Source organism: Homo sapiens, chromosome 15, assembly GCF_000001405.40.
Source record: "Homo sapiens chromosome 15, GRCh38.p14 Primary Assembly".
Lineage (NCBI taxonomy): Eukaryota > Metazoa > Chordata > Mammalia > Primates > Hominidae > Homo > Homo sapiens.
The window spans coordinates 39237061-39260082 of NC_000015.10; the positions used below are offsets into that span (position 1 = coordinate 39237061).

At 37.8% G+C, this 23022-nt stretch overlaps 2 long non-coding RNA genes across 3 annotated transcripts in view; one reads left to right on the forward strand and one right to left on the reverse strand.

The window, feature by feature from the left end:
- The window catches only part of LOC105370777 (uncharacterized), a 556255-nt gene that overhangs the window by 372255 nt on the left and 160978 nt on the right, over positions 1-23022 (reverse strand). The window lies entirely within an intron of this gene.
- LINC02915 (long intergenic non-protein coding RNA 2915) lies at positions 13609-17785 on the forward strand. 2 transcript variants are annotated; one of them, NR_144507.1, is made up of 2 exons: positions 13609-13803; positions 14888-17785. It is a non-coding gene; the product is annotated as a long intergenic non-protein coding RNA 2915 (long non-coding RNA). The 2 variants fall into 2 exon arrangements; NR_144508.1 differs by having other exon boundaries at positions 14999-17785.

Below are 23022 nucleotides of genomic sequence, written 5' to 3' on the forward strand. Positions count from 1 at the left end.
ATGACTGTAAGTTTCCTGAGGCCTCCCCAGTCATGCTGAACTGTGAATCAATTAAACCTCTTTCCTTTATAAATTACCCAGTCTCAGGCAGTTCTTCATAGCAGTTTGAAAACAGACTAGTACGAAGTCCCATCCAACTTCCCGGCTTACTATCTGTCTAGGTCAGAAAACATCTGACCTTATACTTCTTTTCTTCTTCATATAAACTGAGAATCATTCATTTAATCAGTGAATTTATAGCACTTATTAAACCAAAAGCACAGTTGGGAATATAATATTGAGCATAGAAAGGATAATCAGACAGGGTTCTGTAATAAATACACCTATTCCTCTATTCCTTGCTTAAAACCTTTAATTCATTACTGAAAACTTGGTAACTAATTAAAAATTCATTAAATAAAATCTTCTATTTGACAGAAAAAATAATATGGTCCATCTCAACATAATATTTCCAAATAAGTATCACAGATAGAAAAATAGATCAACTGAAGAATGTTTGAAGATTTATATAACTAATAAACAATTATTTAGAAGTAAATAAAAGAAGTTTGTGAATAAAATGTAATAGCATGTAGGTTTATTATGCTCACCAAATAACACACACATACAGAGAGAGCAAGAAGAGAAAGAATGAGAGAGATAGAGAGACTTGATGGTGAAGGAAAAGTCATTTTTGTGGAAGGCATATTTTTTCTCCTGTATCATTTTCTTCTCTAGTTTTTCAATGTTTGCAAGGGCTTTTAGTCATGTTGTATCCAAAATGCCTTCAAAATAGTTATAGTATTAGAAAAATACAAAAGTACTTCAAAATGTGTGGAAACAGTACATGTAAACAACAGATCAAAATATCTTAAAAGAGTTTACCTCTTCATCTTTCTCACTTAGTGTACACAGGCAACATAGAACATTTGGTTATGTGGTATGCAATTCAAATTTGTTCCATGTGATATTCTCTGATTAGAAACTACTGTGTTGAGTGTGTCTTTCTTAACTAATTTTATTTTATTAGTTATACTAATAAAATAATTATTTTTATTAATAAATTAAAAATAAAAATAATAGTTATACTAATAAAATAAAATTAGAAATACTAATTTTATTGTGTATTTTGTAAATTTTTGATTAATAAGTTCTTATGCCATGAAAAGAAGTTGTCTTAAAACTGGCATCATTTTCCAAGTCATTATGGCAAACAACTAACCAAATAGGTATGGGGGGAAAGTCAGTAGAGCAGCAGAAGCAATATGTCATTCCAGTCTGCTTCTTAATGGCATTCTCCCCTCTCCTATGCACAGGGCAGAGAGATCCGGAGCTGCATCCCCTGGTTATACTGCCCACCAAGGCTGAGCCAGAGAAAGCAGCCCCACTGAGGCCCATGACATCTGGATTCTTCGTCTCGTCAAATGTCAACACCCTCGTAAATGTAAAACGGACTCCAATTCTTTTCATTTTTCTTGATTGCAGGATAAGAAAGTTCCTCTGAGATTAAGACTGAGAAAGGTCTTAAAAGCCAAGACTCCAAATGGCATCAGGAAACCCAGGCTCTTCGAAATATGCAGTGAAAAATGAAACCCTTGCAAGATGAGACATTTGATAAAGAAGAAAACATCAAATTTTCTTGAAGCTTTCCTCTCACTGTAACTCTGCCTCCTTGGATTGAAGCTACAGAGAAGAATGCAGCCTGCGGGTGCTCATGCCTGAGCATCATCTCCTCTTTTCCACCTGCTGAGCTATGTCTAAATAGACATCCTCTACCTTTGGCCCAAAACTTTCTGTTCCTGAATAGAAAGAACATTCTTGTCATATCAAGAGTTCTGGGATATTCTGGGAGCAGTTTAGAGCTTTCAATCAGTATAAAGTTTCTTTTCTCATGAAAAGATCTTGCCACAGGGGATGAGAAACAAGCTATTGAGCATCTAATATATGTGTATACCATGCTAATCAATTGTACATACTTCAGTCTATTTAATTAACAGAAACACCCTCCAAGGAAGTCTTATCCCCCTCAATTAAGTAGATTAAAAATAAACGTCTTGGAGAAGATAAGGTGATTGAGCTTGTAAGAGAGCCATGCCTTTTGCACTAAACTACACAGACCTAATCCCTGTACATATATCTGCCTTCCATTCCCAAGATCTCTTGGTAGGGTCTTCCAGAGATCTTCTAGGAATGTACTTAATAACTGGTTCTTCCATTATTTTTCTACCATTGAACTTGAAGAAGATGTGACTGGGGAATAAAGGCAAAGCCAAGCATGAGAAGGTAGATCTGAAACAGGAATGTTAGACATGGAATACAAGAGGCAGAGCAAGAGTAAGCAAGATAGATAATCCTGTAATCCTTCACATGGGAGGAAAGGTTGTAGTAACAACTCCATTCTAACAAGCACAGATAGTACACAGGTTGTTTTTCATTAAACTTGTGAGAGAAAGAGACACATCTCTAGATATATTATTGGAGTGGTCAAAAATGTCTTCATGAACACAGAACTGAAAGCCTAACACATTCATGCCTAGGCCAAAGAATGTCTAGATGAGATGGCCACTGTGAGATAAACTGCAGTCTTCCACAGTGGACTATGTTTGTCCTTTATTTAAAAAAAAAAAAAGAATCTAATATGGGTGGTTTTTTTTTCCTGTACTTATCCTTACTGACATTTTTACAACAGGTTTTATGTGGTTATCTGCTTATTTATAATATACACATGAATAAATCACTTCCTCAATGCATCTACATTCCTTAAAAAGCCACATGTACTATTACTACATTAGTCATCGGTTTTTCATGGTTGATAAAGCCACTAACAATGTTGAGTTCTGATGAGATAGAATCACCTGTGCCACAATTTCCCCAAATGTTTCTCAGTAAAGCACATTCACCATATACAGATTGTAGTAACAGACTTAGAGCAAAATAATATTGCAACTGTTATGTTTTCCAAGGAACTGAATAATTGTTTTACCTAAGTAAATGAATAACATTGCCTAGTCTCGGAGATTAAAATTTCCCAAATTCATTCTGACTCAAAATGGGCAAATATGTATATAAAAATAAATTTAAAATGTGCACATATTCATTACAGTCTTTAAAAATTGCACTGGGTAGAAGCAGGACATGAAGTGTGGCCCAGTAGTCTAGATTTCCATTTATTTAGGAAAGGGTTTGCCGTGATCTAGCATGAGAGCCACAACCTAACAAAACCAGATCTGTTAGAATGCCTTGGCACAAGCTTTGTCTAGCTATTGGTAAAGCCAAAACATCTCAATTTCAGCTTTTCCCATTCAAACATTACCTTTAATTAGGTTTGTTAAAGGCAAGAGCTAACTACATTGTTTTAAATGTAGAAGACTAAGGCTACAACCTATGTTGTGTGGACCCCCAGAGAAGAGTTTAGGTCATTTTGTTGTTGCTGTTGTCCTTAACGACATGCCAACTGTCAGATCCCAAGGCTGTGAGATGCTCTCCAAGGGAGTGAGAGGGAGGTGAGGTGGTGGGGACTGAATAGAGGGCCAATGAAAACCAAACCAAGTGCCATGTTGGCACCTAGACTGGGGCCAATTCTATGGGTGCTGGAGGAGGGATCGATAGAAACAAGAGAAAAAATAAAACTCCACCTTCTTCAGACCAGTGAAAGTTAAAAGCTTGTAACACCGTCACCCCATGGAAGTCAATGGATAGTGGACCTTCAGATGGTTTTGCTGAAAGGAGATGATGAGGAAGCAAAACTAATAGTGAAGACATAAGACACCATGCTTGTTTTTGTCTCTCTCCTGTCAGACCCAAGGAGAACAGGACCAAAGCCCTGAGGAAAGCAGTCAAACAATGCTTCCACTGAAAAGAGAGAAGGATTCTTCTCCTACAAGGTAGTCTATTTTTATTCATCATTTACACACTTAGAGTTTATTGATTTCAGTTAAAATATACAATGAATCCTTCATTTGAAGGCACACTAATTGGTCAGTATTCACTGTTTAAAATTTTTTCATCTTTTTCTAGTAATTTTTTATTGTGATAGAATTGCATAACATTACAATTACATTTTTGCCACTTAAAAGTATGCAGTCCAGAAGAATTAAGTACATTTACATTGTTGTATAAACATCACCACTATCTATGTCCAGAACTTTTCATCTTTCTAAATTGAAACCCTGTGCCTACTAAACAATAACTTCACATTTCCCTCTGCTCCCAGCCCCTGCCAACATTTATTCTACTTTCTGTTCCTATAAAACTGGACTACCCTATGTACCTCACATATGTAGAATCATACAGTATTTGTCCTTTATGTCTGTCTTATTTCACTTAGCATAATGTCTTCAACATTCATCCATGTTGTAGCATGTGTCAGAATTTTCCTTTATAGAGCTGAATAATAGGAGTATTCTCCTTCCTATAAAAATATATCTTTACCATTTATCTGTTCTCTGACCTTGAATATGTCAATAAGTCTTTCTTAGCCTCAGTTTCTTCACCTGAAAAATGGAGAAAATAAATTACTTACCTCACTAGGCCTTTGTTAAGGATTAAATTAAGTAATTCGTGTTAATCATTAGCATAGTACTTAAAAATACATAAGGGCTCATCAAGAGGCAGCATTTATTGTTGATGTTGTTATGGTTATTGTTAACATTGTTATTATTAGCTTAGAAGTTGTCACAAGTTTTTTGTTTGTTTTTTGTTTTTTATTTTATTTTATTATTATTATACTTTAAGTTTTAGGGTACATGTGCACAATGTGCAGGTTTGTTACATATGTATACATGTGCCATGTTGGTGTACTGCACCCATTAACTCATCATTTAGCATTAGGTGTATCTCCTATTGCTATCCCTCCCCCTCCCCCCACCCCACAACAGTCTCCGGAATGTGATGTACCCCTTCCTGTGTCCATGTGTTCTCATTGTTCAATTCCCACCTATGAGTGAGAACATGCAGTATACTATGCAGCCATAAAAAATGATGAGTTCATGTCCTTTGTAGAGACATGGATGAAACTGGAAATCATCATTCTCAGCAAACTATCGCAAGGACAAAGTCACAAGTTTTTTAAAGCAAGAATATCTATAACACTGCAGAATTTTGCAAACTCTTTTAGGAAAACCATTGGCTTCCTAATGGTCAAATGTAGCTGTGCATTTGGAACACCACATAAATTGGTAGACTTTTGAGCCTAGAAATTTTCCTAAGACATGGTGACAACATTAGATGATCACGAACAAAGTTAAACAGCCTCATGGAAGTTCCATTAAACACCTATAAATATGCAAGAAAAAATAAACTTCCTGAAAGAATGAAAGAGCTGCAATGAAATGTTTCCAGTTCCTGAGTAGAGGCAGGTGAATCAGGTAAGAATGAAGTTGATTGTGCATGTCTGCCTCCATCTTTGAATCATGAGGTAATTGGGTGTATTCATGATAGGAATTTTTCTTTCTCCAGCCAAAACCAAGCTGGTAATTACAAGTGCCCAAAACCACAATCTGGACACAGCCTGTGACACAATCTGGACACAGCCAGGTCTGAGATCAGACTTGGAAAGGCCCTTCCCTCCATCTGAAAAATGCCTTTGCTAGTCAGAAGAAGCTAACAGGGAGAACACCACCACATTCCCTGATCCTCCATGGGATCCTCAAGACCAGGGGCACCATGGGGGTCCTTGATTACATTGTTCAGGAAACCAATGAGGGAACGTCTTGGCTTCTTTATAGAAATTACATAATATAGAAGAAAAAAGCAAAACACAGCCAACAAACAAAAATGCTGATAAGTCCTTTTGAAGGACAATACACAAAAGCTCAGTTGAAGCTTTCACACATAGACATGCATTTTTCATTTTTCTTCTTGGAGATGAATTTCTATGTGTGTACTTTATTTGTACTTGGGCTCCAAAATCATGTATCCTTTCCTCTTGCTGTAGGCAGTTACATGGTGTCTTAGACTACTTGGGCTGTTATAACAAAAATACAATAAACTGGGTGGCTTCAACAACAAACATTTATTTCTCACAGTTATGGAGGCTAGAAAGTCCAAGATCAAGGCACAGGCAGACTCCATGTCCAGTGAAGGCCTATTTCCTCTTTCATAGATGGCTGTCTTCTAACTGTGTCCACACTTGGCGGAAAGGTGAAGGAGCTCTCTGGGGTCTCTTTTATAAGAGCACTAATTCCAATCATGAGGGCTCTATCTTCATGGCTTCGTCACTTTCCTGCCAAGAGTCCCTACCTCCTGATGCCATCACCTTGGGCGTTAGGATTTTGCCATATAAATTTGGGGGTACACAAACATTTGATCCACAACAGGTGGCGTACTATTTGAAAGTAGAGCTGTATTTATCTAAATATTATTTGGTGGACAGATCAGAGAGGGAGTATCATACCTAGAACCCTGGCCCACAGAAGTTTTTTCCAAAGGTTTATGTAAAAGCTCTGAAGTGAAAAATTCCAAAAATGGTTTAAACAATAGTCACTTGATTTCAGACAGTATGCAGATTTTCAAGATGAATAACTTGAAGCTTCCATTCTGACATACTGGTTAAGCTATCCATCTCACTGTCTTAGGCTTAAGCAGCACCCCCTTGCCAGTTGTCATTCCTGTGACTGCTAGCTCCGAAAGGAAAAGGCAGGAGATGAGGATTCTGATCTAAGGGTGAAAGAATTATGCAAAGTTTCTTGTCTCAAAGGACACAGGAATTTTGTAATTCTTTTGAACACTTATACCAAATGTCAAATTTCCCCAAAGCTGGATGAAGAAGGAAGGGAAAAGAACTGACATTTATTTGAGCTAATACTCTGTCATGCATTATGCCAAGCAATATGCATGGCAATTTTGTTGATAAATTAGAGGAATTGACAAATCAGAGAAATAAAGTAGCTTTCTCAAGATTACACAGTCAGTAACCCCAGGTCTGTTTCCCTTGAAATCCTCTCTATATTCCATTATACCCTAAAGCTTCATCCCTATAGCTTTTCTGAATGTCAGATATAGAAACGTCTCTATTTGTCTCAGATCTCTCAGGTAAGACATTGCCTTACTAAATATATGACCTCATTCGGGATGTGCCAGGAGGCTGCCAAGGCAGCTGGAATAGTTAGAGTGAGGGCAGCCATATTTCCTTGATCACACCGAAACCCGCTCAACCAGACATCTCAGAGTGGGAAACAACATCCTGATTTCTGAAAAATAGTCAATGGTGGCACAAGATAAAGGCAAACATTTGGGTTGGCACCAGCCATTAATATGATTCCTGATGGACAGGGCCATCTGACTGTGGGAGGGGTTACTTTCTCAATCACTTGTAGGGTGATGGCACAATGAGAGTGAGTGACATGTAGCTCGATTATATTTGCCTCCCTTCATGCCCACGTGAATGCACTGGTCTTTTGTTTGGCATTAGTACAAATCCTCTGTCTCTCCCATAACTCCTAGGTATCAATCATGAAGTTAATAGAAGTGGGATCCTCCAAAAGACACCTTGGCTTTCCCCACAGTCATCCACCTGTTCCACCTGTTTCAACAGGTGAACTCACTGCAAGCACAGAAGACATCTAAGGACTTTAGAAGTGAGGTAGCCTCCCAGGACACCAAGACACCTCCCCCAAGAAATGACTCCATTTGTACATTTTCATATAATGTTCTTTCTACAAGAGGATCTTTGTAATTTACTAGACCCTTTTCTTTCTCAAAATACATGAGGATACCAGAGGAATTATCTTCTAACCTTCATTTTGACCCTTTCACCTACAAACTTGATTGGATCTGCCTAATCTCTGAGGAACTTGCTAAGCTCTGGTTGTCAATTTATATGGCCAGATTGACAGAAAGTATGAAAGTCCTGTGGAACTATGTTTACTTTCACACATGAGCCAGTGAGGTAAGCCAGTTCATCTGGTGATGCAGCATTGATGGCTCTTCTTGGTCCCCAACCATGCATGTAATAATACACATGGTTTCTATTCATTTTCAACTGACTTGAGTCATCAAATTAAAACATATTCAGTGAATATAGTTCAAAGAAATGAGATAATGTTAAAGAAATAAAAACATTCAGAATAACTTTTTTCTTTGTCACCACGTTGGCTTAATTAGACAGGAATTGGTCCTACTTTGATTTTGTAAATGAGGAATTTAAGAAGCAGCAGTAATAATAATTACTGCAATATTTTCAGCCTTTCTAGGTTGTAAATTCTCAGCACTGTCGTTATTTGCATTCAGCCCTCACCTAAGGTTTTCTCAGATGCCTGTGGTTTAGATACCCCCACAGTAGGGATACCTTCCATTAAACTTAACTCACATGTAAAGCCTTTCCAACTTTAGATGAGTAGTGAAAAGCTGCCTTTAGCCTGTCATTGAAGTACCTTCTACTACCAGGGCAAGCTTTTAAGTGAGGGTCTTGATAAGAGCATTCCTCTGAGATGATCACTCTAAGACTTGGAGTAGGAAAGGAAATGAAATCCCAAGTTGCCTTATCCACCTCCTACCCCTCCTCTTGGTTCATCATAGTAGACTTCTATCTCCCCCAATTTTTTTACACACATGAACAGGGTCTGTAAACATAAGTTGTCGCCTCCTACATTCCTTTGACAATCACCATTTCCTCTAGGAAAAACTCTTCCTGCTCCACCCAGGTAGGGTTAGGTGAGCCTCCTCTATACCCTAACAGCAGCCTGCATGTATTTCTATTATGTCATTTGTTAAACTACCATGAGTTTGTTTTTTATAAATTATAAGAAGCTTTTCATTAATATCGATAAATGTGCATATATTATGGGCTTTATACCTTTGATGATACCATGTTCTTCTATTATGTGGTGGTTTAGAGATTCATAAAATTCATTCTTACCTATTTAAATTTGTCAAGAAATGTGCCCTTGGTTGACGGTAGGTAAAGAGGTTGCAAACTTGGTATCAGTAAGGCATAAAATCTGGTTTGTTCTGACCGCTGTATTATATTTCTGCTGTTGAATAACAAATTATGCAAACAAGGCAAACTTGAAACGATAGCCACTTATTATTGCACACAATTCCAGGTAAGCTTAGCTAATTCTTCACTCAGAGTCTCACACTCAAGATATCAGCCAGCTGCCATTCCCATCTGAGTCTTGGGGACTTCTTCCAAGCTCATTGGTTGTTGGCAGAATTCATTTTCTTCTTACCCTTTCCATGTGGGTTCTCCATCTTCAAGCCAGCAATGGTAGTTTGAATTATTCTTATGCTTCAAATCTCTCTGACTCCCTCGTCTGCTGCCAGCCAGAGAAAAATCTCTGCTTTTAAAAGCATGATTAGTTTTGCCTACCTGGACAATTTCCCTTTCACCCTAATATGGGCATAATATCAAGTTCAGGGGCCTTGGAAGTCATCTTAAAATTACGCCTTTTACAACCATGACTCTGGCACTTTTGATCAAATATTTCTGCATTCTTCATCTTTTTGTCTATAACAAGGATATGATTTTCTACCAGGGATGTTTAGAATTGAGAAATGCAAGCTGAAGTGGTCCTGAAGTAGTCAGAGAATCACTGAACCAAATGGAATCAATCCCACAGTCTTGACTTCAGAGGAAAGTGTATGCTGACCAAATGAGCAAACCAGTCATCTCTACTGGGAAAGTAATAATAGAGGTGGCCCTGATTTCAGAAGCAGAGTGAGATGCCAATGACTCCACTAAAATATTTCATTGTCCCAATAAAGTAAGGTTGTGACCACCATCTGAGTCGCTGCTGTCAAAGCACAACTTCAGTTATACTGTGCAGACTAGAATTTCTGAGCCCAATATTATTAAGCTGATTTTCTGATTATAATGGAGTCCAATTTCAGCTATTTCTCTGTGCACTTCCTATTTTTATAAAATTATATCAATCATAATCACTGTGATAATATTGTCAGTGCTGTCTAACTTACATATTTAGCTTATAAGTTAACAAAATCTTTAACAAACCAGCCACAAAAGTTAGCTTTATGAACCAGACTTATAGAGAATATAAAGGGACATGAAACCCATAGGAAAAGGAAATTCATCTCCTAAATAGTCACGATTATTTAGGCAAGATTTATTCCTTTTCAGTAAACCCCTTGAAAGAGGAGACTATCTGTGTCTTACCATTTTGCCCCCAACAAACTGCCTAATTTCATATCTAGAACATAGTAGGTGCTCAAGAAATACTTGCTGAATAATGAATGAACATTTGTTAGGAAACTTTAGTAGGAAGGATTTTAATAGTAAAACCGTGAAACTAATCTAAGTGTCTAAAACTAGAGAACGATTTAATAATGTTTTAACAGCCTCCAAAATTATGTTGAGGAAGAATAAGATATATCATAACATAAAAATTGTGATACAGATTATAGATGAAAAATTTAGGTTACTAACAAGAATGTATAAAATATTCCATTAATTATATATACATATATACACATATTTTACTATTTTATATATTAAAAGATATACAGCATTATACTATGTTGGTTATCTCTGGGGATCAGATTACAGGTTGTTTTTACTTGCTTCCTTGAGATTTTTTTCTGTAATATCTGAATTTTATTCCTTTCTTTCCAAATTTGGGGAAAAAAATAAGGTTTCTGAAAATTAAAAAAAATAGATAATATATCAAGTTTGGACTGCAAACCAGAGCTTTCAGCAGAACATAGTTGAGTCTTTGCCATAGACACCAACTCATTTCCTTCCTTTCTGTGGCATTCATTCCACTATCATGCATTTTTTCCCAAATGAGATGACAAAATGGAAAGACCATTTCTACACCAAGCATTGAGCCATAGGAAAGCGGAATGTCAGTCAGGGCATCTGCAGATCAGGAAATCATGTCACAGAAAACAGGACCTGTATAAGATCTAAGTTTATGCCATTTGCTGATCAGTTACCATATTTCAAAAATTATACACACTGTAATCCCCTCTCTCTGTTCTGCGGGCCCTTTGAAGAAGAAGGCATTTTTAGCAAATGTCCTTTAAATGGAGAAAAGAGGCAGATCAATTTACTCCAAACTACTTCAGATTAGATCTTAGTCAGAATGCCTCCCCAGAGTGGAAGCTCTTCTCCAGAAGTACCTTTCCTGTTGGATTCAGGTTCAGGGTTGGAACCCACAGACCCAGAATGATAGGCTATCAGCAAAGAAAAGCATGTCATTAGCATCCAGCAGCCCTCAGTTTGTCCTTGTCTCCTTCATCTTCCTTCAAACTTCTATTTTTCTCTTAGATTTCCCTGAAACTCTTTTAAAAATTCCTTTTGAAACAAGTGGGTGCCTGACTCATTGCCTATTTCCTCTGTTTTCCACCCAAGTGGTAAACAATGGGCTCTATTCAAATATGGACCGTCTGTGAGCTGGGAACCTGCGTGCAGACAAAGCTCCTTGTCCCAGGGCAGACTGCCAGACCCATGCTCTCCTCCACTCACCTCCTAGGCTGTTTAATAAGGGCCACTTGGCAAAAGGCAACATATTGTCATGGTCCTGTGACCTTGTAGTTCTCTGTCTCTTTTCCCTTCAGCCCGAAAGAATATTTCTCTAAATTCTCAAGTCAACGCATTTGAGAACAGCCTTTCAAAAGATACTTGTAGGAATAACAGAAGGTAGTTCAGGACCCAGTCAAAAGGACTATCTGGCTTTATTTACAATAATTTTAATGCCTCTGTCCTAACTCCTCCAAAGTTATTAATATTTTGTCTGTAGATGGTGGTTGCCAGGAAAGAGAATCTTGCAAAGTCAAGGGCATGACAAAGCTGAGAAATAGAGAAGGCTAGCCTAAGACTTTGGGAAGAGAAAGGTGAAGGAAAAAAATAGTAGGAATCAGACTATGGAACAAGAAGAACGGGACAAAGTTTCAAGTCCAAAGTGAGCAGGTAAGACAAAAATAACTGAACTTAAATGACAGAGTAGTCTTCAGGGAAAAAAAGAGAGAGAGAGAAGAGACTAGAGAACACATTTGCTTCAAGTGCTTGAGGAAAGCACACCTCCAGTGTGTAGAGGAATCACAGGAGGAGATTTTGCATATGGTGTCCAAACTCCCTTCCCAAGAATTTATGTTTCCTGAAGAACACTGCCAACTTCCCCCCTCCATCTTAAAATGGTAAGAAAGAGAGTTAAAGAGAAGGTAAGGGAAACAAATAAATAATTACGATAATCCAGTTATATTAGATATGTGTGCATTTTAAAATAACTTCAACAACCATATGAAATTGTGGCTCTTGTTCCTGTTTTTTTTACAGATGAGAAAATTGTAGCTTATGGAGTTTAAATAATTTGCTCACAGTCACAGAATTAGCGCTAGAATTTAAAATCAAGTGGTATGACTAAAAAACCATGAGAAAATTCATTCCTTCTTTTACAAAACAAGTCACTCTCTACTGACAATCAAACCCAAGTCCTCTAGATTCTCCATAATATTATTTACATCTATCCTCTTCTATCCAGCCCTACTGTCCCTCCCTCATAGCTTACTAAGTTTTCCCCAAAAGCCTCCTGACCTCCCTTCTCTGTGTCCCCCCATTCTTTTCCTTTCTTCTTTCCTTTTCCTTCCTCTCTCAACATGTATCTCATCAATTCCAACCTGCTTAAAACCCTTCAGTGACTTCCCACTGACCTAAGATTAAGTCATTGCTCTCAAATATGGCACTGCTTACCCATTGTTCTGCATATTATATTCTCTCTCCATCACTTTCTATGTTCCAACCACATTGGACTTCTTTAATATCCTCAAAACTACAAGTCGTATACCAGGGAAGGGCTTTTACACAGGCTGTTTATTCACTGTGGAACACTCCCTCCTCCTCTTCTCTTAGCTCAGCCATTCGCAAACTTTTGGGGCTCGGCCCCTTTGTGCTCTCAAATCTTCTGAAGAACCCCAAAGACCTTTTCATTTTAAAAAAGGTAGATTATATCATTATATCATGTTGCAAATTAGAACCAATTCTTTTTTAAATATTTAATTCATTTTAAAACAACATAGTAAACTGATTATACCTTAACATAAATAACATTTTATGAAAACATAGCCACGTTTTCCAAAACCAAAAATACATGAGTGAGACTAGTAGTGCTGTTATGCATTTTTTGCAAATCTTACCAATATCTGGCTTACTAAAGGATAAATGGATTCTCATGTCTGCTTCTGCATTCAATCTGTTGTGAAATCTATGTTATGCAGCTTCTGTAAAACTCCATTGTACACTTGTAATGCAATAAGAATGAAAAGGCAAATGACTTCTTAGTATTATAGGAAAACAGTCTTAACTCCTCCCTAAAAGTGTCTTAGGCAGAGACATCCAGGAAACCCAAGGTATACATTAGGAACTCTTAATTATCCTTAATATCTTGTCTTAAAGTTAAAATTTGCAAAGATGTCTTTCCTGACCTCAAAGAATAGGTCTGAGTCCTCTTGTTATATGTTTCTATAACATTCTTACCTCTCTGTCAAAACACTCACCGTACCTATAATTTATTCAATAATTTGCATAAGGACAGGGACCATACCAACTTTGTTCATAGTGAGTCTCCAGTGCTCAGCACACAGCAAGGACTCAGAAAATCTTTGTGGGAGGAAGCAGGAAATAGAAGGGGGAGAGCAAGGAAGTAAGGCCTCAGACTCAATGACACAGCTCCCTGACAATCGCTCCATTCCTTCAGCAGGATGTACACAGAGATATAACTTTCTACAGCATCCACTGCAGCTCTGGGCTCCATTTCCCTTTGAAATGGGATGGGAGAAAGGGGCAGGTAACAGACTGGAGTGAGGAGACTGAGGAGAAACTGTAGAGAATAATACTTAGGAGTACACGTGCTGGATTCTCTCATTAAGGTAATCATTCAATATTTACTAAGCAGCTACAATTTGCCAGGCATTCTTCTGGGCACTTGGGACACATCAGTGAACAAAATAGAGAAAAGTTTCTGGCCTCAAGCGATTTACAGGCAGACCTGAACTCAACCACACATCCCTCCACTTGAGTTGGCCTGGATTGTTTGTTTAATCTTCTTGTGCCTTATTTCTCTCATCAGTAAAATGTGAACAAGCCTTGAGAGTTTCCAGGTGAGAACTAAATGAAAGAATATCTTTAATGTACCCAATAGAATCAGGCACCTGGTAGGTGCCTAATAAATGGAAATCTTTCTGCTGGCAACTCTTATTCCAAAATTGATTTTTTTTTCATGTACAGAAACTATTCGATAGATTAGAATCCAGTCACTCACAGGATATCACTTGGGTAGTTGTCGGGGAGGGGGAGTGGTGTATTTAGGGTCTTCTCAGGATTCGGGGGGCTGGCTGCAGTGTCATTTTCCTATAGAGAAGCATCACCTCTGGCTTCCTCTCTTCTTCACAAGCCACCTGGATATGTTTACATTGAACTATGCAAGGTACTATTGTAGTCTTAAGCTATGCAGTATTTCAAAACAGACTTTCCTGAGGACTCTTACAAAAATAATTATGCCACGAGTGTCAGACTATTTGAAAGAAGATATTCATAGCCAACTGTTTGTAAGGGACCACCTCCTTACATGGGTTTATTGTGTATCATAGGGTTGCTGGGGTTTTCCAACTTCACCCTCTGAGTGTGGGTTGGCCTTTCTGAGAAAGCTACACTGCCTTTGAAGTAGGACTACCAGGAGAGAGGGGGGAAAAAAAAGTGTAGGGCTCTTTGACTTTTCATTTCCCTTTCTATCTACTTACTCTTTGTGCCTTCTCCAGTTAGTACCACACTAGAGAAGTGTTAGGTAGAGGAAGAGGAAGAAAGAAAAAAGGACAATCTTATCAGTTGATTTTGCTATGTGTTACCAGTCTGGTAAAAACATTTGAAGTTAGAAAGTATTCAAACATGAATAAAGTTTGGGAATTACTTGTATGGATTTAATTTCCTCAGAATACCCTCATTGTTCCTTCGCAGGAAATATTCATGAGTCAACTATCCAGAATCATAGTTATTATTCAAGCGGTGTGGGTTTAAAAGGAGATTTGATGCCATGGCAAACCTCACTGACTTAGACTGTTCTTCAAGTTAAAGAGCAGGATGATGTCTGAAGTGGCTGAAACACATATGGCTTCAGTGTGTCAAGAAGACCTGAAAGATCCCACATGGAAGTGAAATTCATTACTGGCAAGCACGGTGGCAGGAGACCCCAGAGGGCTGAGCCGCAAAGAATTTGCAGAGCCTTATGGCTAACTCCATGGCCTAGTTTGATCTTGAAGTTACTGTCTTGGATAATCCTCTCAAATCTGTTCCTGCACTTAAGAGCCACTCATCACATGACGGAGCTCCCTCTCAGGTTCCTTTACATCGCCCTGTCAGAAATGACTTTCAGGGAACAGACATCACATCAAATCATCCAACAGATGTCCCTTTCAAATAAGTTGGAGCAGAACCAACTATATGGAGAAGTCATAAACAAAGAAACAGACAACCCAGTGATTTCCAGCGGATTGACATTACTCTTTGCACAGAAACCTCAGTCTCCTGGGTGGAAGAACATGAGTTCAACAAAGCGTGTGTGCACTATATTGGCTGACTCTTGCCGTGCTCAGGCTCATGCTGCTGACAGGGGAGAGAGGGGACATTTTGGAGTCCAAATCTTGCATCATTTCATTGAAGTGTTCAATGTCATGGCTGTAAGAAGTAACCCATTTTAATAACTGGCATCAAAGGATTTAGGAGAGAGAAACCCAGTATCCAGACCCATTTCCGTCAGTGACACTCTCCTCGTATTGGGAGGATTGGCCAGAATCGTCTGATTCCTGTTTCTGATTTCCTTCCTCACTGGCATCAGAGTATTTCACTATAGGAAAACTAATATCTAACTGAGCTCCAAGTGCTAAATAACAGCATCTCATGTTCATTCCGGGTCACCAAGAGGTTCAGGGTGACCAAGTCACAAACTATAAATTTGAACATTTGATGATTTTTGCAGGAGACTGGGTGAACAAAGGAAAACCCGAGAGATACATAAAGGTGGAAACTAGGATTTCTCATTTGAATTATTTAACATGCCTCACTCTAATGGTTATAAATGTAAAGGAAATGCAGGTTCTTCAAGAAGGTGAAACGAAGTTACTGAATTTAAGTTTTTTTTTTTTTAAACCTACTTTAGAATAGGAAACATGCTTACTAATATTTACAAGGCACTACAAGGCACCAGCCAAAAAGCCTGATTTATTGGCAGGATATTCTTGTTGTTGTTGTTTCTATTGTCCATATAGGCAGGCAATTAATACTTTTTAGAAAATTAAGTTGCCAACTCAACACTGCCTACTTTTGAATTTTTATTCTAGCAACAGCCGATAATTTATTGGAAATTCCTTATGTGCTGGGCACTACGCTAGACATTGGGAGTACGAAAATTAATATGGTAAAGATCCTGGCTTTAAAGAGTCTTTAACATTATTTCAGCAGTTTTATTACAGGTGTATATGTTGGAATTGACAGAACACTTAGCTCAAAGCAAGGGTTCAAGCATGACTTTGCAGAGTAGATTTCAGCTGAGCTTAAAGGATGTGAGAATAAGTATACACATTTTTTAAATTACCCAGAATGTAGTGCCTACAGAAGTGCTTGAGCCTCAGTTGCTTCTAAGAGTCCAACTTCAGAACTTGTATCTTCTAGATTGAGCTCATTGCTTAATTTCTAGCCAACATAGCCCATCTCTCTCAGCTGAATACTAAGCTCATCAACTTCTCCTTTGATCTAGGTCTTGATTAGAATGTTGAACATGACAAGGCTGAAGGCAGAAACCATAGAAACTTCTATCCAGAGTTACACTCGTCTCTTAATAGCTGCCTACTGTTGCAATCAGAATAAACTCACTTCTTGCCCAATTATGACAGTTCATTCACCTTCTACTCAAGGGAGACTTTAAGAATTGTTGAAGTTGAACTTCTCAGGTTCTTATACTTAGTGACACTGTTCATGCAATGGCTCAGTATTTCTTGATTTCTCAGAACCAGCAAAAGTCACAAACTGAATCCTCAAATTGGAATTCGTAAGTGACTAACTTGTAGCATAACTTTATTATACTAGGAAAGATGGGGCAAGGGACAGAAAAAATATCTGTAACATCTTATATGTTCAAATATAAGCGCTTTATGTATATTTAGTCATTCAAACTCCAAATACACATTAAGAAGTAGTCATCAATATTCCACTCTCTAATTCTACAATTTCTACCTTTTTAGATTCCACATATAAGTGAGATCATATGGTATTTGTCGCTCTGTGCCTGACTTATCTTACTTAACATAATGTCCTTAGGTTCATCCCTGTTTGAAAATGGCAGAATTGCCTGTTTTTTTTTTTAAGGCTAAATAGTATCCTATTTTGTATATTCAGCACATTTTAAAAAATCTGTTCATCAGCTGACGGACACTTAGGTTGATTCCTTATCTTGGCTCTTGTGAATAATGCTGCAATGAACACAGGAGCTCAAACATCCCTTTGAAATACTGATTTAAATATCTTTGGGTATAAACCCGGAATTGGCTGTGGGGAGTTAGACAGGGAAAATGTCCACATTGCTCTACGGATACAAAGTTTCAGTTAGGAGGAATAATTCTGGTGTTCTATTGCACAGCACAGTGTCTATAGTTAATAGTAATGTATTATATATTTCAAAATAGCTAAACAAAGAGAATTTTAATGTTCTTACCGCAACGAAATAATTGTTTCAGAAAATAAATATGCTAATTAGCCTGATTTGCTCATTCCACAGTGTATATACATGTATCAAAAAGTCACATTGTACCCCATAAATATACAAAATTATTTGTCAATTACAATAAAACTTTTTTTTAAAAAGTAATTATCAAGGTCTCCATTTGACTGATAAAACTTAGATTAAATCTGAGCTAGAACTCAGCGAATATTGCACCAAATGTTCTTCCCATTATGCTCCTCCCTCTTCCTCGCTAAGATTGCGCCCCTTCTCCTCCCTAACTCGCCACAAGTTCCCATCACCCTTCACTAGTTTTCAAACCAAGGAAAACATCATTCAATGAATGATAATACTTGACCAAGAACTTTTAAAGAGTTTTGAGTTAAAGAAAATGTGACTTGGGTTAAAGTCACATTTTAAACTTGTGATTTGTGTTAAAGAAAATGAAACCCCTAAATGACTTTTCTTAAATAGGCATTCAAAAAAAATTGACCTTTTAATCACTTAATCCTCACATATCTATATGCTATGGACTGAATTGTGCTCCCCAAAATTCATATTTGAAGCCCTAACCACTTCCCCACAATGTAACTGTATTTGGAGATAGGGCTTTTATTTAGAGATGGAACATTGAACCTAATTAAGGTTAAATGAGGTCATTGTCATTAGGGTGAGACCCTAATCCAATAGGACTCGTGGGTTTATTAAAAGAAGGGACTGATTCTCTCTCTCTCTCTGCCTCTCTCTGTCAGGTAAGGACACAGTAAAAGGAAGTAATCTGGGAGCCAGTAAGAGGGCCCTCCCTAGAATCTGATCATGCTGGAATCCTGATGTTGGACTTCCAGCCTCCAGAACAATGAGAAATAGATTTATGTCATTTAAGCTACTCAGTATTTTGTTAAGGCAACTTCAGCAGACTAATACACTATATAATCTATGGACCCCCTCCAGGAATGCCATTTGGACCATTTTACAAGAAGAGTATGTGAGATTCAAAGGGGTCATTAGGACATACGATGAGGAAAGTTGGTTATTCCAGGGTTTTACTTACTAAATTCCAGTACATAATTCGAACCACTGTGGTACACAGTACATTTTCCCACAGGAATGCCATAGCCTGCTATTCCAACAGGATCAGGGAATCAAAAGTGAGCAAATTCAGGCGGTGCAACTGTACTATATTGGACAGATGGACAGATGGGCATGACTCTGCGGTTAGCGGGAGGAGCACCATCTGTTGCGGACACACAAGTGCTTCTTGCTCTCCTTGGGAAAACTCACAGATGTTTCCATAACAGGTGTGTTTGCTTCCCCCATGTAGCTTTCCCAGACACGTCACACACAGCACTTTCACTGAGTTACCCTTTCTACTCAGGCAAAGGAAGTAGAGAAATGAGACCTCTGCCTTGATAATTTAGAGAGAAAAAAGATGCGACTTGGTTGCTTCTGAGGTGCCTGAATGTACTTTTGGCAGAGAGTGGGGAAATAGAAAAAATACCAAATACTGAAGAAAGCATATTTCTTAAACCGTGAATAATTGTTGAATTCTTTATTTTTATAAGTTCCAAGGGACATGTGCAGGATGTGCAAGTTTGTTACACGGGTAAACGTGTGCCACGGTGCTTCGCATCTATCAACCTCTCACCTAGGTATCAAGCCCTGCATGCATTAGCTATTTATCCCAATGCTGTCCCTCTTTCCCTCCTCTGTGTGTGGTTCTTGAGTAATAGAATCAGGACAGGATAATGTGCATTATGCTTCCTGAACAATCGATTAGTAGGCTGAGGCTTGAAAGGTAAGGCAATATGATGCCAATGAGCTTATTATTATATTCAATAAGTTGAGTTATTGAGCATTTAATTATTAAAAATGAATTATTAAACACACAATGAACTCAAATGTAACTACTAAATTCACAATCTTAGATTGTCTTTAACCTATTGTCCCCACGCATTCTACCAAAAATTTTTAGTATCTAACTTTTTCATGAATCCAGTGAAAAATACTGACAAAATTGAACTTTAAGGCATACCATTTTTTTCTGGTATATAACTGATCTGTGGTTAATGAGAAAATTTGGAGATGTCTGTCTTTCAATCGTCGTGTATAAGAATATAATCTTCCACAAACCCTGAATTTAAAATACTCTGCGTGTCCAGAACTCTTTTCTAGAGAGTAGCATAGAATGGTGGAAAGTCATACGTAACCCTAAAAGGAAAACCTCCATGTAATTACCTCTAAGTATAAAATTGCATAAAAAGAGAACCAGTCTACCAAGTGTAATTAAAAGCAGTTCAAATTTTAATTATTTTTCACAAGTAATGACAAACACAGAGATATATACCCTTACTGCAAAAAAAAAAAAGGTGCCTTGAGGTTATATTTCCAATTATTGCACTGGTATTCCACCTATGAATTTATCTATTACTCTATCATGTGACCCCAAAATCTCACCTTCCACAGATGTAGCAATTTTTCATTTTTAAAATAATTTATAATAATGTTCTAAGATGAGGATTATCTGTGTAATTGTGTAATCATCTATCTAGCTGCCCAGAGAATTTTCTGTTCAAGAACATGCACCTCCTTTCCTAAATAAATAAAACTTATTCGAAGATCCTGATACCGAAGCCTAGCAGAGACACAACCAAAAAAGAGAATTTTAGACCAGTATCCTTGATGAACATTGATGCAAAAATCCTCAATAAAATACTGGCAAACCCAATCCAGCAGCACATCAAAAAGCTTATCCATCATGATCAAGTGGGCTTCATCCCTGGGATGCAAGGCTGCTTCAATATATGCAAATCAATAAATGTAATCCAGCATATAAACAGAACCAAAGACAAAAACCACATGATTATCTCAATAGATGCAGAAAAGGCCTTTGACAAAATTCAACAACGCTTCATGCTAAAAACTCTCGATAAATTAGGTATTGATGGGACGTATCTCAAAATAATAAGAGCTATCTATGACAAACCCACAGCCAATATCATACTGAATGGGCAAAAACTGGAAGCATTCCCTTTGAAAACTGGCACACGACAGGGATGCCCTCTCTCACCACTCCTATTCAGCATAGTGTTGGAAGTTCTGGCCCGGGCAATCAGGCAGGAGAAGGAAATAAAGGGTATTCAATTAGGAAAAGAGGAAGTCAAATTGTCCCTATTTGCAGATGACATGATTGTATATCTAGAAAACCCCATTGTCTCAGCCCAAAATCTCCTTAAGCTGATAAGCAACTTCAGCAAAGTCTCAGGATACAAAATAAATGTACAACAATCACAAGCATTCTTATACACCAATAACAGACAAACACAGAGCAAAATCATGAGTGAACTCCCATTCACAATTGCTTCAAAGAGAATAAAATACCTAGGAATCCAACTTACAAGGGACGTAAAGGACCTCTTCAAGGAGAACTACAAACCACTGCTCAAGGAAATAAAAGAGGATACAAACAAATGGAAGAACATTCCATGCTCATGGGTAGGAAGAATCAATATCGTGAAAATGGCCATACTGCCCAACGTAATTTATAGATTCAATGCCATCCCCATCAAGCTACCAATGACTTTCTTCACAGAATTGGAAAAATCTACTTTAAAGTTCTTATGGAACCAAAAAAGAGCCTGCATCGCCAAGTCAATCCTAAGCCAAAAGAACAAAGCTGGAGGCATCACGCTACCTGACTTCAAACTATACTACAAGGCTACAGTAACCAAAACAGCCTGGTACTGGTACCAAAACAGATATATAGATCAATGGAACAGAACAGAGCCCTCAGAAATAACGCCGCATATCTACAAATATCTGATCTTTGATAAACCTGAGAAAAACAAGCAATGGGGAAAGGATTCCCTATTTAAATAAATGGTGCTGGGAAAACTGGCTAGCCATATGTAGAAAGCTGAAACTGGATCCCTTCCTTACACTTTATACAAAAATTAATTCAAGATGGATTAAAGACTTAAATGTTAGACCTCAAACCATAAAAACCCTAGAAGAAAACCTAGGCATTACCATTCAGGACATAGGCATGGGCAAGGACTTCATGTCTAAAACACTAAAAGCAATGGCAAACAAAAGCCAAAATTGACAAATGGGATCTAATTAAACTAAAGAGCTTCTGCACAGCAAAAGAAACTACCATCACAGTGAATAGGCAACCTACAAAATGGGAGAAAATTTTCGCAACCTACTCATCTGACAAAGGGCTAATATCCAGAATCGACAATGAACTCAAACAAATTTACAAGAAAAAAACAAACAACCCCATCAAAAAGTGTGTGAAGGACATGAACAGACACTTCTCAAAAGAAGACATTTATTCACCCAAAAAACACATGAAAAAATGCTCATCATCACTGGCCATCAGAGAAATGCAAATCAAAACCACAATGAGATACCATCTCACACCAGTTAGAATGGCGATCATTAAAAAGTCAGGAAACAACAGGTGTTGGAGAGGATGTGGAGAAATAGGAACACTTTTACACTGTTGGTGGGACTGTAAACTAGTTCAACCATTGTGGAAGTCAGTGTGGCGATTCCTCAGGGATCTAGAACTAGAAATACCATTTGACCCAGCCATCCCATTACCGGGTGTATACCCAAAGGATTATAAATCATGCTGCTATAAAGACACATGCACATGTATGTTTATTGCGGCACTATTCACAATAGCAAAGATTTGGAACCAACCGAAATGTCCAACAATGATAAACTGGATTAAGAAAATGTGGCACATATACACCATGGAATACTATGCAGCCATAAAAAATGATGAGTTCATGTCCTTTGTAGAGACATGGATGAAATTGGAAATCATCATTCTCAGTAAACTATCACAAGAACAAAACACCAAACACTGCATATTCTCACTCACAGGTGGGAATTGAACAATGAGAACACATGGACACAGGAAGGGGAACATCACACTCTGGGGACTGTTGTGGGGTGGTGGGAGGGGGGAGGGATAGCATTGGGAGATATACCTAATGCTAGATGACGAGTTGGTGGGTGCAGCGCACCAGTATGGCACATGTATACATATGTAACTAACCTGCACATTGTGCACATGTACCCTAAAACTTAAAGTATAATAAAATAAAATAAAATAAAATAAAATAAAATAAAATAAAATAAAATAAAACAAAATAAAAAAAGATCTCTCCTCTACATAGAATGAGTTGACATTTCCTCTTTACAAACTTGCTAAAAGTAGCACCCCAGGCACTTGTCACTTAAATGAGATAGGTATTTAACCAAGACGATAAAATATTAAAACTGAAAAATTGTATGTGTCAGCCACATATAAGATCCTGGGGGCAACTCACAGACTATTGGGTCCCCTCAGGATCTATGGCTCCTAACC